General features: G+C 37.6%; 1 protein-coding gene across 11 annotated transcripts in view, besides 3 other annotated features; it reads right to left on the minus strand.

Moving 5' to 3' along the window:
- DLGAP1 (DLG associated protein 1) overlaps positions 1–13,877 on the minus strand; it is a 959,276-nt gene that overhangs the window by 612,211 nt on the left and 333,188 nt on the right. The gene's annotated exons all lie outside the window — the stretch shown is intronic.
- Positions 9,494–10,081: an enhancer, noted in NCBI's record as "NANOG-H3K27ac-H3K4me1 hESC enhancer chr18:4117736-4118323 (GRCh37/hg19 assembly coordinates)". NCBI's record gives its function as "activates a minimal SCP1, AML or CMV promoter by ChIP-STARR-seq in naive H9 embryonic stem cells {active_cell/tissue: H9 hESC(naive)}" and the evidence as "EXISTENCE:reporter gene assay evidence [ECO:0000049][PMID:30033119]".
- Positions 10,082–10,668: an enhancer, noted in NCBI's record as "NANOG-H3K27ac-H3K4me1 hESC enhancer chr18:4118324-4118910 (GRCh37/hg19 assembly coordinates)". NCBI's record gives its function as "activates a minimal SCP1, AML or CMV promoter by ChIP-STARR-seq in naive H9 embryonic stem cells {active_cell/tissue: H9 hESC(naive)}" and the evidence as "EXISTENCE:reporter gene assay evidence [ECO:0000049][PMID:30033119]".
- Positions 10,836–11,607: an enhancer, noted in NCBI's record as "OCT4-NANOG hESC enhancer chr18:4119078-4119849 (GRCh37/hg19 assembly coordinates)". NCBI's record gives its function as "activates a minimal SCP1, AML or CMV promoter by ChIP-STARR-seq in naive and primed H9 embryonic stem cells {active_cell/tissue: H9 hESC(naive and primed)}" and the evidence as "EXISTENCE:reporter gene assay evidence [ECO:0000049][PMID:30033119]".

The following is a 13,877-nucleotide window of genomic DNA, read 5'->3' on the forward strand; positions in this document are numbered from 1 at the left end:
AGGACATGAAGAATCCAAACAGACAGGCCTTGTTCAGTTCCCCCAGCTTATCACCATTAGATCACACCCATTGGTCCTCCAATCACACTACTGTGTGACTGTCAATACAAATACAGTTTTTCCTGGGGCTTTGGGTCTCCTTTCTGAAGGCTCCTACGTCAGGTAAAATTTATATTAAATAAGTCTGTATGTTTTGCTCTTGTTCATCTCTCTTTTGTTATAGGGGTCTCAGCCATGAACCTGTAATTGGATGAGGAAAAGGTATTATCATTTCTCCCATACCCTGTATTACACAATAAAAAAAAAACCAGTAACATCTTGTATTTGTCCTATTTGAAAATTTTATTTATTAGCATTAGCTAATAAATTATTTGTATATATGCAAAACAAGATTGGAAATGACTTCCTGTTATATGAAAATGATTTCATCATGTGATATAACAGCTAAATATTTTAAAGCAACTTTAGGCAGCATTTAATAAAGGTGCTAACAGTGAGGAAGGAAGTATCTTCTACTTGGTACAGGTCAGACACATCTGGGGTTTGGTGTTAGCTTTAAACAACAGTGTAGCCTGGAATATTTCCAGTAGAAGGAGAAAGGGCTCAGGCACACTTAGGAGAAACCTATTTCTACCTCCAAATAATGGAAGGGCTGTCACATGAAAGAATGAACTTCTTTGACACAGCTCTTACAGTATAAAATTGTATTTGTTTTACAAATAGTACAACAGGTATAAGTTCTAAGGAGACACGAAAGAACTCCGTAATGTTTGGAGCTGTCTAAATGGGAGTGAGTTACTTCATTAAACAGTGAGCTCCTATTTGAGAAGTGTGGCTCATGACCTGGAAATGATTATATTGTGGGAAGGATGTGCTAATTCCAGGTCCAGCTTGTAACTGATATCTGGTGCCATCCGCAACTGGCACTCGGGGTGTCCTTTGGGGAAGTGGTTGTGTGTGGACTAACTAAGCTATATCACTTGATGATCAGATCATTTTGCCAAAGCACACCTATGCCAGCTTTTAAAAGGCTCATGTAATTATATTAGGCCCACTAAAATAATCAACTTTTTGCCATTTAACATAACATAATTAAGGGAGTGATATCTCCTCATCTTCAGAGGTTCCACCCACACTCAAAAGGAGGGAATTGTACATCAGCGTGGGGCATTAGGCCACTCTTAGAATTCTGCACTTCACAGGGTGACTGGAATTAAAACATTCCATGGTTACTGTAGTGTTCAGAGAAGGCTAAAGTGTCCATTGGCTTTGGAGCTCCTGCTTCACTACTTGGAGACCTGTATTTTTTTTCAGCTCTTGATGCTGGAAGGAAGGTTCTTTCCAACTTGATGAAACAATCACCAAATATACACCAGTGGGGGCTTTCCTGAGCCCCTGCTCCTGAACCAGGTCCTCTCCTTCCTCATTCACTCCTAGAATCTCTAGGACTCCAGCCTATACCAAGTTCAAAACTTGTCCAGATCTAACTTTAATGAATGTAATCACCATTAATCCTAACTCAAACTATTTCCCCCATATTTTTTTTTATTTTAAATCATTCTTCTTTACGTCTTTCTTGCTTAATTTCTCCTAAGAAGCAAGATTTGGGTTCGATTTTCCTTTTCTAGGTGTTTTTTTGTTTGTTTGTTTATTTGTTTTTTGTGGGGACAGGACTCAAGTCTTGAAATGTGAAATATATATATTCATATTATCTATATTGTGTGTATACATACATATATGTTTCACATGTGTAGAAGATTTCTCTCGTCTCCAAAAAAAAAGGATACACAGATACACAGTCATGCATTGCTTAACGATGGGGATACCTTCTGAGAAATGTGTTGCTATCCAAATCTGTCATTGTGTGAATATTACAGAATTTATTTACACAGACCTGGATGACCTAGCCTACTAAACACCTAGACTATACGGTATAGCATATTGCTCCCAGGCTGCAAAGCTGTGCAGCATGTGACTGTACTAGATGCTGTAGGCAAATGTAACAATGGTAAGTATTTGTGTTATTTAAACATATTGAAACAAAGAAAAAGTACAGTAAAATACATTGTTATAGTCTTATGGGACCACTATCCTATATGTATACCATTGTTGACTGAGCATCATTATGTGGTGCGTGACTGTCTATATCCTTGGTAATATGGATTACTCTTAAGCCATTAATCCCCCCAGTGTGTACTCATGGAATGGTAACTGACTATAGAATTAAGCTTAACAAATCATAATTAGGAAAACAAATCATCCATAAAAAATACTGTGCACAGGCAGTTTCCAAGTTATGAATATATCAGGTCCCCATAGTTTACTTTTCAGTCAATTGTTTAGAGCCTAGTCCTAGAGATACTATATTTTGGGGAAAATGCTGGTTAGGTTTCTGGGTTCCCTGTGGGTTTGATCAGCCCATAATGAAAATGAATTATAGTAGTAATAGTAAAAGAGATCAGGATTCTGGGAACAAAAGAAAATTTTACTCCTTATTTTTTATTGAGTAGGGCTATCTGGGAGAATATTTGGAAATAGTTTGCTTTTTATATTTTTCACTCTTTGCACATTTTGTTAATTTACTTTTATTCCTCTACTATTGCTCAGAAAGTCCCCTGAGATTCCTGGGATTTTCTGACTGCCCATCTTGCCTCACTGGCCAACAGCACCATGCTCCCTGTCCCAGGCGGGCTCTTCTTCCAAAAGTCCTATCGACTTACAAATCCTTTTTCCTCCCAAATGCAAATGAAGCTCTCTTCATTTCATGAAGCTGATCTCATCTAAAGGTTATGATATTAGCCGTGGTTTTTTTCTAGGTGCTCTGTATCAAGTGGAGGAAGCTGCCTTCCATTCCCAGTTTGTCGGTTTTTATCGTGAAGGGCTGTAGAATTTCGTCATATACTTTTTCTGTGTCTATTAAGATGATCTTCTGAGTTTTTTTCTGTTGTATTGATATGATGTATTACATTATTTGAGTTTTGAATGCTGAACCAACCTCACATTTCTGAAATAAATCCCATTAGGTCAAGGTGAATAATCCTTTTTCTATGTTGCTTGATTCAGTTTGCTAGTGTTTTGTTGAAGATTTTCATGTCTATATTCATAAGGGATATTAGTCTGCAGAGTTTTGTTGTTTTTTTCCTTGAGATGTCTTTGCCTGGTTTTGATATTAGCAAAACGCTGGCATCATAGAATAAGTTAGGAAGTGTTTTCTCTCCTCTCCTATTATTAAGAAGACTTTACAAAGGATTGGTATTCATTCTTCATAATAAAATTTCTGGAATAACTTATCAGTGAAGTCATCTGAACTATGGATTTTCTTTATGGAAAATGTAAAAATTACTAATTCAATTTTTTAAGTTGCAGTTTTTAAATTAGTGATTCAGTCTCTTATAGGTCGATTTAGATTTTCTCTTTGTCTGATAATTCGTGTTTTTCTAGGAATTTGTCCATTTCATCTAAGTTATCTAATTTGTGGGCACACATTATTATATAATGTTTCTTTATAATCCTTTTTATTTTTGTAAGATGGGTAGTGCTGTTCACTTTTTCATTCCTGATTTTGGTAATGTGAATCTCATCTTTCTTCTTTCGGTCAGTCTAACTAAAGGGATGCCAGCTTTGTTGATGTTTTCAAATAATAAATTTTTTGTTTTATTGATTTTTCTCTTTTGTTTTTGTTTTTTATTTATTCTGTAATAAAATAACATAATAATAATAATTATTATTTATATTTGCTTTAACTTTAGTTTTTTTCCTAGCATCTTAAGATGGAAGATGGTTATTTATTTGAGATCTTTCTTCTTTTTTAATGTAGGCACTTACAGCTACAAACTTCCCTGTGATCACTGCTTTAGCTACAATCCATACATTTTGGTACGTTGTACTTTAATTTTCATTTCTTTCTAATTTCCCTTGTGACTTCTGTCTTTGACTCATTAGTTATTTAGGATGCGTTGGGTAATTTCCACATACTTGAGAATTTCCCCATTTTTTTCTGTTGTTGATTTCTAATTTAATTCTGTTGTGGTAAGAAAAAATAATTTTTTATTATTTTAATTTCTTTGAATTTATTGAGGCTTGTCTATGGACTCCTATATGGTCTACCTTGGAAAATGTTTCATGTGTACTTCAGAAGAATATTCTGTTGCTGTTGGGTGGAGGATTCTATAGATGTCTGTTAGATCTTGTTAGTTTATACTGTTCGAGTTTTTGATTTCCTTGTTTATCTACTGTCTAGTAATTCTATTCATTATGGAAAGTAGGGTGCTGAAACATTTATTATTGTTGAATTATCCATTTCTCCCTTCAGTTCTGTCAATTGCTGTTGTTGTATTTTGGGGTTGCATTGTTAGGTGCAGTATAGCATATATTTTCAACTTTTATCTTAGATTTAGGGTATACATGTGCAGGTTTGTTACCTGGGAATATTGTGTGATGCTGAGGTTTGGGGTACAATTTATCCCATCACTAAGCATGGTACCCAATAGTTACTTTTTCAGCTCTTGCCCCTCACCTCTCTCCCCTCTCCAGTAGTCACCAGTGTCCATTTTTGCTATCTTTATATCCATGTGTATCCAATATTTAGCTCCCAGTTAAAATTGAGAACATGTAGTATTTCATTTTCTGTTCCCGTGTTAATTTGCTTAGGGTATTGGCCTTTAGCTGAATCCATGTTGCTGCAAAGGACATGATTTTATTCTTTTTTTTATAGCTATGTAGTATTCTGTGGTATGTATGTACCACATTTCCTTTATCCAATCCATTGCTGATGGGCAACTAGGTTGAGTCCATGTCTTCGCTATTGTAAATAGTGTTGTGATGAACATATGAACACGTGTCTTTTTAGTAGAACAATTTATTTTCCACTGGATATATATTCAGTTACGGGATTGCTGGGTTGAATGGTAGTTCCGTTTTAAATTATTTGAGAAATCTCCAAACTGCTTTCCACAGTGACTGAAATAATTTACATTTCCACCAACAGTGTCTAAGCATTCTCTTTTCTTTTCAGTCTCACCAGCATCTGCTGTTTTTGGACTTTTTAGTAATAATCATTCTGAATGGTGTGAGATGGTATCTCATTGTGGTTTTGATTTTCATTCCCTGATGATTAGTGATGTTGAACTTTTTTCGAAAGTTTGTTGACCGTTTGTGAATCTTCTTTTGAGAAGTGTCTGTTCATGTCTTTTGACATGAACATTTTTAATGGGGTTATTATTATTATTTTCTGGCTTGTTCAGTTGTTTAAATTCCTTTTAGATTCTGGGTATTAGACCTTTGTCATATGCATAGTTTGCAAATATTTTCTCCCATTCTGTAGGTTATCTGTTTACTCTACTGATAGTTTGTATGGCTGTACAGAAACTCTTTAATTAGTTCCCTCTTACCAATTTTGGTTTTAGTTGCATCTGCTTTTGAGAACTTAGTCGTAAATTCTTTCTCAAGGCAGAAGTCCAGGATGGTGTTTCCTAGCTTTTATTCTAGAATAAAAGTCTGAAATCTTATATTTAAATCTATAATCCATCTGGAATTAATTTTCGTATATGGTGAAACATAGGGGTCTAGTTTCATCCTTTTGCAAATGGCTAGCCAGCTATTCCAGCACCATTTATTGAATAGTGAGTCCTTTTCCCACTGCTTATTTTTATTGACTTTGTCAAAGATCAGATGTCTGTAGCTCTGTGGCTCTATTACTAGGTTTTCTATTCTGTTCCATTGGTCTATGTGTCTGTTTTTTTGCCAGTACCATGCTGTTTTAATTATTGTAGCCTTATAGTATAGTTTGAAGTTGAGTAATGTGATGCCTCTGGCTTTTTTTTTTTTTTTTTTTTGGTTTGCTTAGAATTGCTTTGGATAATTTTTTTTTTGGTTCCATATGAATTTTAGAATGGTTTTTTGTCTAATTCTGTGAAAATGATATTAGTTTGATAGGAATAGTGTTGAATCTACAGATTGTTTTAATGATATTGATACTTCCAATACATGAGCATGGAATGTTTTTCCATTTGCTTGTGACATCTGTGATTTCTTTCAGCAGTATTTTGTAGCTCTCCTTGTAGAGATCTTTCACCTCCTTGGTTAGCTGTATTCCTAGATATTTTACTTTATTATTATTTTTTGTGACAATTGTAAATGGGATTGCTTTCTTGATTTGGCTCTCTGCTTGAATGCTACTGGTGTATAGAAATGCTACTGATTTTGGTACATTGATTTTGTATCCTGAAACTTCACTGAAGTTGTTTAACAGTTTCAGGAGGTTTTTGATGAAGTCTTTAGAGTTTTGTAGGTATAGGATCTTATCGTCAGTGAAGAGAGATAGTTTGACTTCTTCTTTTCCTATTTAGATGTCTTTTATTTCTTTTTTCGTGTCTGGTTGCTCTGGGTATGACTTCTGCATATATGTTTATAATTGTTATATTCTCCTTGTGGATTAACCCTGTTATCTTTATGAAATATTTCCCATTATCTCTAGCAATATTTTTGTTTCTTAGTTTATGTATGTCGTCTCATATTTATATGGCCACTCTAGCTCTTTTAAGGTTTCTGTTTGCATGGTATATCTTTTTCTATCATTTTACTTTCAACCTACTTGTATATTTGAATGTAAAATGTGTCCTGTAGAGAGTATATAGTTGGGCTTTGTTATTTTTCCAGTCTGATAGTCTCTGCCTTTTGATTGGATTGTACATATTTAATATTTTATTGTAATACTTAGATTTAATCTGTCATTGTTTTTATTTGTTTTGTCATTGTTTTCTGTATGTCTCATGTTTGTTTCATTCCTTTCTTCTTTACTGCCTTGTTTAGTGTTAAGCAAATATTTTCTAGTGTGATATTTATTTAACTTATCTTAATGATCTTTAAATAATATATGCATTATTCTCTTAGTGATGTCTCTAGTGCTTACCATGCATGTCTTATCAAAATCGACTTCAGATTTATATAAAATTCATTCCAACAAAATAAAGAAATTTTACTCATATATGTGTCTATTCCTTTCCCCTCTTTTGGGTACTATTAATGTTGTGTATATTGAGCTAAATATGTTACAAACCAAAAAATACATTGTTATAATTTTACATAATCTTATGTTTTTTTTTTTTTAACAAAACTGAGAAAAGAAAGAAGAGGAAGTACGTATTTATATAGTTTGCTGTATTAACCTTATTATATACTGTTTACAATTCATTTCTTTCTGTGGATTTGAACTACCATCTAGTGTCATTTTCTTCCTTTCTTTCTTTCTTTCTTTTTTTTTGAGACGGAGTCTTGCTCTGTTGCCCAGGCTGGAGTGCAGTGGCGAGATCTCGGCTCACCGCAAGCTCTGCCTCCGGGGTTCACGCCATCCTCCTGCCTCAGCCTCCGGAGTAGCTGGGACTACAGGCGCCTGCCACAACGCCTGGCTAATTTTTTTGTATTTTTAGTACAGACGGGGTTTCACCGTGTTAGCCAGGATGGTCTCAATTTCCTGACCTCCCAAAGTGCTGGGATTACAGGCGTAAGCCACCGCGCCCAGCCCATCTGGTGTCATTTTCTTACTGTGATATAGTTTTGCTCCTACCAACCTTCTCTGCACTGTTTTTGTCAAAAATATTAAATTTCTATATATTATAAACTCACTAATATAATGATACACATATTTTTGTGCAATTTGTCCTTTAAATCAGTTTAGAGAAGAAAGGGGAATGAATATTCAATTACACTGTCTTTCTTACTGACCTACATCATTACCTTTATTAGCACTCTTTCTTTTCTCGTGCAGATTCAAATTATTCTCTGGTGTGGTTTGCTTTTAGTCTTAAAAACTCTCTTTAGTATTTCTTGTAAGGGGGTTAACAAACAGCATTTGTGTATCTCAGAATGTTTTTATTTTGCCTTCATTTTTCAAAGATAATTTTGGTAGATTCTTGTTGACCTTTTTTACTTTTTAGCACTTCAAATATGTCATACCATTGCCTCCAATATTTCTAATAAGAAGACAATTGTTAATCTTTTTGAGATTCCCTTGCAAGTGGTGAGTCATTTCTTTCTTGCTGTTTTCTCCTTCTACATTTTGACTATAATGTGTCCGAGCGTGAATTTCTTTGTATTTCTCCTACTTGGAGTTTATTGAGCTTCTTGACTCTGTAGAAAAATGCTTTTCATCATATTTAGGAATTTTTCAGACATTGTTTCCTTGAATATTTTTTTCTGCTCCTTTCTCTTTCTCTTCTCCTTCTGGCACTTCTATTATGCATAAACTGGTACACTGAATGGTGTTCCACTCTATTCTTTCAGGCACTGTTTATTTTTCCTCATTCTTTTTTTTCTCTTTTGGATTACATAATCTCTACTGATCTTCTTCAAGGTCAGTTTCTTTCTTCTACCAGCTCAGACTGTCTCTCGAGACCCTTTAGTCATTGTTTTATTTATATTTTTGTACTTTTCAAATTCAGAATTTTCATTTGGTACCTTTAAAAATAATTTCTCTTTTACTGGCATTTTCTATTTGATTAGATATTGTTATCATACATTTTCTTTAATTCTTTAGACATGATCTCATTCAGTTCTCTGAACTTATTTAAAATGTGTGATGTCATTGTCTGCTAAGTCAATTATTTAGGCTCCTTCAAAAGCAGTTTCTATTCCCTGCCTTTCTTCTGTCTGTGTATCTACTATGAGCTGAATATGTTATGGGATGAAGTGTTTCTCCCCAAAATTCACAGATTGAAGTCCTAACCTCCAATATCTCAGAATGTGACTGTATTTGGAGACAGGGCCTTTCAAAGAGGTAATTAGGTAAAATGAGGTCATATGAGTGGGCCCTAATGGAATACCACTGGTGTCCTTCCAAAAAGAGGAGATTAGATACACACACAAAGGGAAGATCACGTGAAGACAGCATGTGAAGACCACGTGGAGGGAGGTGGCCATCTACAAGTTAAGGAGAGAGGGCTCAAAAGAAACCAACACTGCTTACATCTTGATCTTAGACTTCTAGCATCCAGAATTTTGAGAAAATAAATTTCTATTGTTTAAGCCACATAGTCTGTAGTACTTTGTTATGGTGTCCCTAGCAAATTAATACAGGGTCACATTTTCCTATTTCTTTGCATGTCTTGTAATTGTTTCATTGAAAACTGGAACTTTTGCATAATACATTGTAGCAACACTGCTTATTGATTGCCCCTCCTCCACCCCAGGGGGTTGATGTTGTTGTCTTGGCCAATTTATTTACGCTTTGATGACTTAAACTCTATTTCCCACACAGTGTGCAGCCTCGTGTTTATATCTTTGAGCCTGGCTATGTAGAGATTTCTCCGGGTCAGCATAAAATCACTGGTCATAGATTGTGCTTAAGACCGCTTAGCCAGTTCTACTTTTACTCTTTACCTTGGATGTGTTTGTGGCTTGGAGGCTGCTATTGCAATTTAAATAATTATGTGTTTGCCTTCACATTTTGTGACGGACTACTAGCTTGGATTTTTCTTCTCCCATCACTCTGGAGAAGGCACAGTCTTGGGTGTGTACAGGGACTTTCAGGCTGCCAGGGATCAGCATGGTTTTTCTTCTTAAGCCTGCTTTCCTAGGAGTTGCCTCTGGGTCAGTTCAGCCAGCTGTGGTGAAGTTTGTGCTTAAGCCTCTAGTGCCAGTGAGGCTTCTGCCCTTTGTGGATTATTCCGTATGTGGTTTAGTGGTGTTTTCAAATCTGCCCACATCTAGCTCTGATTGCTTCTGACTATTGCTAGGTACAGCCTTGCACTGCACACAGCCTTCATGACCGCCAGGGTTATGTGGCATCCCAGGAGGGTTCTTCTTGGTGGTCTTTCCATTGTACCCTGTTACACTTCTGATTGCTCTGCCATTTTGCATGTGGTAGCTTGCACCATGGAGCTATGAGTGCCTTCTGAATTGCTCTCCAACAAGATGCTCATTGCTTTTGACAATGTCCTTAAGCATGGAATTCTCCACGCTCCATTCCAAATAAAGCCAGCCCCTGCAGGCCGAGCTGTGGAGTTCTTCGTCCCTGAGATCTGCCTCTTTGGCCTGCCTCTTCCTGAGCAGCACTTCTGTTCCACTGCACAAGAGCTGGGGGTAGAACCCACTCTTGTCCCAGAGTGACATCCTGCTCCGCCAGCAGGTACGGAGTGTGTGTGGCCTGTACCTTCCTGGCTTGCCTTTCCTTGTATGGAGCCTCAGCCTTAGAAGTGAGCTGGGATGAAGGTGATCAGGGCCTCACTATTCTCTCCTAGCTATGCCTGGGGAAAAGCTTCAGTCCTACGAATAGAAGTTAGGTGGAGGAAAGGAATCCTGGGCCTCTTAGTCACCCCCGCCTACAATGGAATTTCTGTAAAATGGGGCTGGAAGATGAGAAACTCTGTCAGCCCATTCCTCCCATGGTGAAACTGTAGCCCCAGGCTGGGGAGCTGGGGAGCTGGGGTGGTGGTGGGAAGAGTCTCATTTTCTTGGTTGCATCTCCCTGGATTAGAGCTCCTCAATCAGTTTCCCTAAGCTTGGGGTGGAAGGTAAGGGTCATGACTGAAATGCCACAGACCCCTGTCTTAATGAGATTTAGCTGATTTTCTCATTTTCTTGAATGAATATTACCCTATTTACTTTAGGATAATTCTCTTTAAAAAACTATGTTTTTAAAAAATGCTTTCCTCCTGATAAATGGATGTTTACTGGGGAGAGATTCTGAGGGACTCTTCACTCTTCTCTGGAGTCATCTTTCCCTTTGCGTTATAAATAATTCAAATAACACAAATAACGACTCCTACCTTTGGGTATACATTTTTTCACAACGAAAATTTTCTCTTCTATTACTTCTCTATATGTTTTATATACTAATACCCTTATCTCAGTATTTTATTTTATTTTTTTTGAGATGGGGTCTCACTTTGTGGTCCAGGCTAGAGTGCAGTGGCATGATCACAGTACACTATAGCCTCGAACTTCTGGGCTCAAGTGATCCTCCCGCCTCAGCCTCCCCTGCAGCTGGGACTATAGGCATGTGCCACCATGTCTGGTTAATTTTCCTTTTCTTTTTGTAGAGATGGGTTCTCACTATGTCTCACGGGCTCTTCTTGAACTCCTGGGCTCAGGCAATCCTCCCTCCTCAGCCTTCCAAAGTGCTGGGATTACAGGTGTGAGCCACTGCACTCAGCCTATCTCAGTATTTTAAATAACAGAGCCACCAATAATTAGTGCACTGCAGGACAGAGCAAAGAGCTAATCCTCACTCAGATCGATCTGCATTTGAACAGCACTCTATTGTTTCACAATGCTATTGAAATGATAATAGCACTTTGTCCTCATTGGGAAGTGACTGGAATGTGTTTAGCAATACGGAATACGGTGAGGATGACAGCCGAAGGCACACAGGTTGTTCTGGCAGAGCTAGGACTAGAATCAGGGCTCCAGACTTCCAACTCTTCCAAGCTAAAAAGAGTGAATTAGACAAAAGCACTCTTTAAAAAAAAATCTGCTTATTTTATGTCTGGAGTAGGAGCTTATCTACCCACAAAGATGTGGATCACTATTAATCTGGAAATTTTCTGTTTCTATATTTTAATTTAGTAACAATGCGATGAAACTTGTGCTTTTGATAAGATTTCCTATGAAATGAGACATCATTTGGATACATAAATATTCTCACTGGCAAAATTACTTGACATAGGCACCTATTTATTTGATACAATGACTGAATTTTAAGTATCTCTTTGAGGTTTAAAAAAAGCCATTGAAAGTGAAAAAGAGAAACAACCTTTTAACAGCAGAGGGGGCTGGCTGAATTAATAAAAGGGACTGCTGAATTACAATTTATCATTTAACTGAAGGATTCTTTTCAATACAATCACTACTTTGAAAATGAATATTTATTATGACTGAAAATTAGTGAAGATTAATTATAATGCTATTTATTAGGAGACCTTTAAAAACCATCCCTTGTTTGAAAAACACTTATAAAGCTCCTAGTTGTTCAGACATTTATGTTAGCAACTGTTAAAAAAAGCAGTGAGCTGCTACTAAATATATCAGAGTGCCCAATTAAATTTCTACAGGTCATCAGATGGCGTCACTGACTGGTGGAAAGGCTGAAGTTAAATCCTTCATCCTAAAGGAAACAATCAGACAACATGAGTTCTGTATCTAATCCGCAGCATGACAGAAAGCCAATAGGAAAAAGTGAATTGCACATCACTCGTGGCTTTTCATAACCATTGTCCACAGTTTGATCTTGATGTGAACCACTGAGACATAGCTTGTAATCATAAAATCTGCAATGTCAGTGAAGCAATGATAGACAGGTAAGAACGAGATTGGTGCTCAAAGCAGCTAGGGAGGTCTATAGGTTTCGCCTGACAAGAGAACAGATCAAAATATGGCAGAGTAATTGCCCACCATTTCCACTGTTTCTTTTTCTTCTAAATTAAAAGTACTCAGTCATGCAAACAAACCGATTGTAATGTCTGCCTTTCCTTCTTTCCTTCCTTCCCTTCCTTCCCTTCTCCCTCCCTCCGTCCTGCCATCCTCCTCCCTTTCTCTTTCTCTCTCTCCCTCTCCCTCCCTCCTTCTCTCCTCTTTCTTTTTCTTTCTTTTATTAATTCACCAAATATTTACCGAATGCCTACAGTAGGCTAGGCACTTCGTTACTAGGCTAGATACTGGGCTAGGCTAGCTACAGGGATATAGCAGAGAACAAGGTAGACACAGACCCTGTTCTCAGTACCCACATTCTCATGGTGGTGGTTGGAGGAGGTGGGCACAGACAGTGAATGCATAAACAAATGCAAGATGAGTTCTGGTTATGGTGGCTGTTAGGCAAGACGGACACTGGTTCACGTGACAGAACTTGTCTAGAGTGGGGGTGCAAGTTGGGGTGTGTGAGGTGGGATAGAGATTGGGCCATGCCAGTTAGGCCATTAGGAAAGACCTGTTTTAAGACCTGAGAGTGAGAAGGAACTGACTGTGAGAAGAACATTCCAGACAGAGGAAACAGCAAGAGCAGAATCCCTGAGACAGGAAAGGGTGTGCAGGAACTCAAGGATAGATTGATGTAGAGGAGGTAATGCTGTGGAAGTCAGGATGGGCAAGAGGATGAAGGGACAAAGCATCTTTGGTTGGCCAGACTTTATGTAGGCTTCTGAACCTTCTCCTAGGCCCATCCAGGCACTTCCTTGTAAAATCTACTTTTAGCAAAGAACCCTGCTAAGTCACTTTGGCAAGAACCCCTCACCCCCCGTCCTCAACATCTGATCACTCTCGATTCTGATCAGGTTCCTCATCCTCCACCATCCCCCAGGTGATGTCTGGTTATCCTGGCCTGCCTTCATCAAGAATCCTGTTAGGTCAATTTAGCCAGAATCCCCCTTACTCCTGATGTTTCTTCCTAGCAATTTCCCATCCACTGACCCCTACCCTGCCCCTTGACTGCTAATTCCCACTTGCTCATGCCATACTCAGAGTTGTGCCCAATCTCTCTCCCCTACTGCAAGACCCTGTTGCAGTGGTCCCTGTACCCATCGTGATAGTCCTGAATAAAATTTTCCTTATCATGCTTTAACAAGTACCATTGAATAATTTTTTCTTTAACAGTAGGAATATAATGATGACCAACATTTACTGAGAGTTTGCTGTGTGTCAGCTCCTCTAAGAAACTAACATGTATTATCTCATTTAATACCCATGACAAACTTAGAAAGTAGGTATTAGTATTATCTTCTTTTTAAAGGTGAGGAAACTAAATCCTAAGTCAGGCAAAACTGGGAGTTGAACCAAGGTTGTCTGACTCCAGCATCTGTGAGTTTAAATACTATGCTTTAGTATTAGAGGGAATGCAATCATGTGGAAGTGAGCAGGCTAGACAAGGGCTCTATCATGATCCAAAAATA

Source organism: Homo sapiens, chromosome 18, assembly GCF_000001405.40.
Source record: "Homo sapiens chromosome 18, GRCh38.p14 Primary Assembly".
Taxonomy (NCBI): domain Eukaryota; kingdom Metazoa; phylum Chordata; class Mammalia; order Primates; family Hominidae; genus Homo; species Homo sapiens.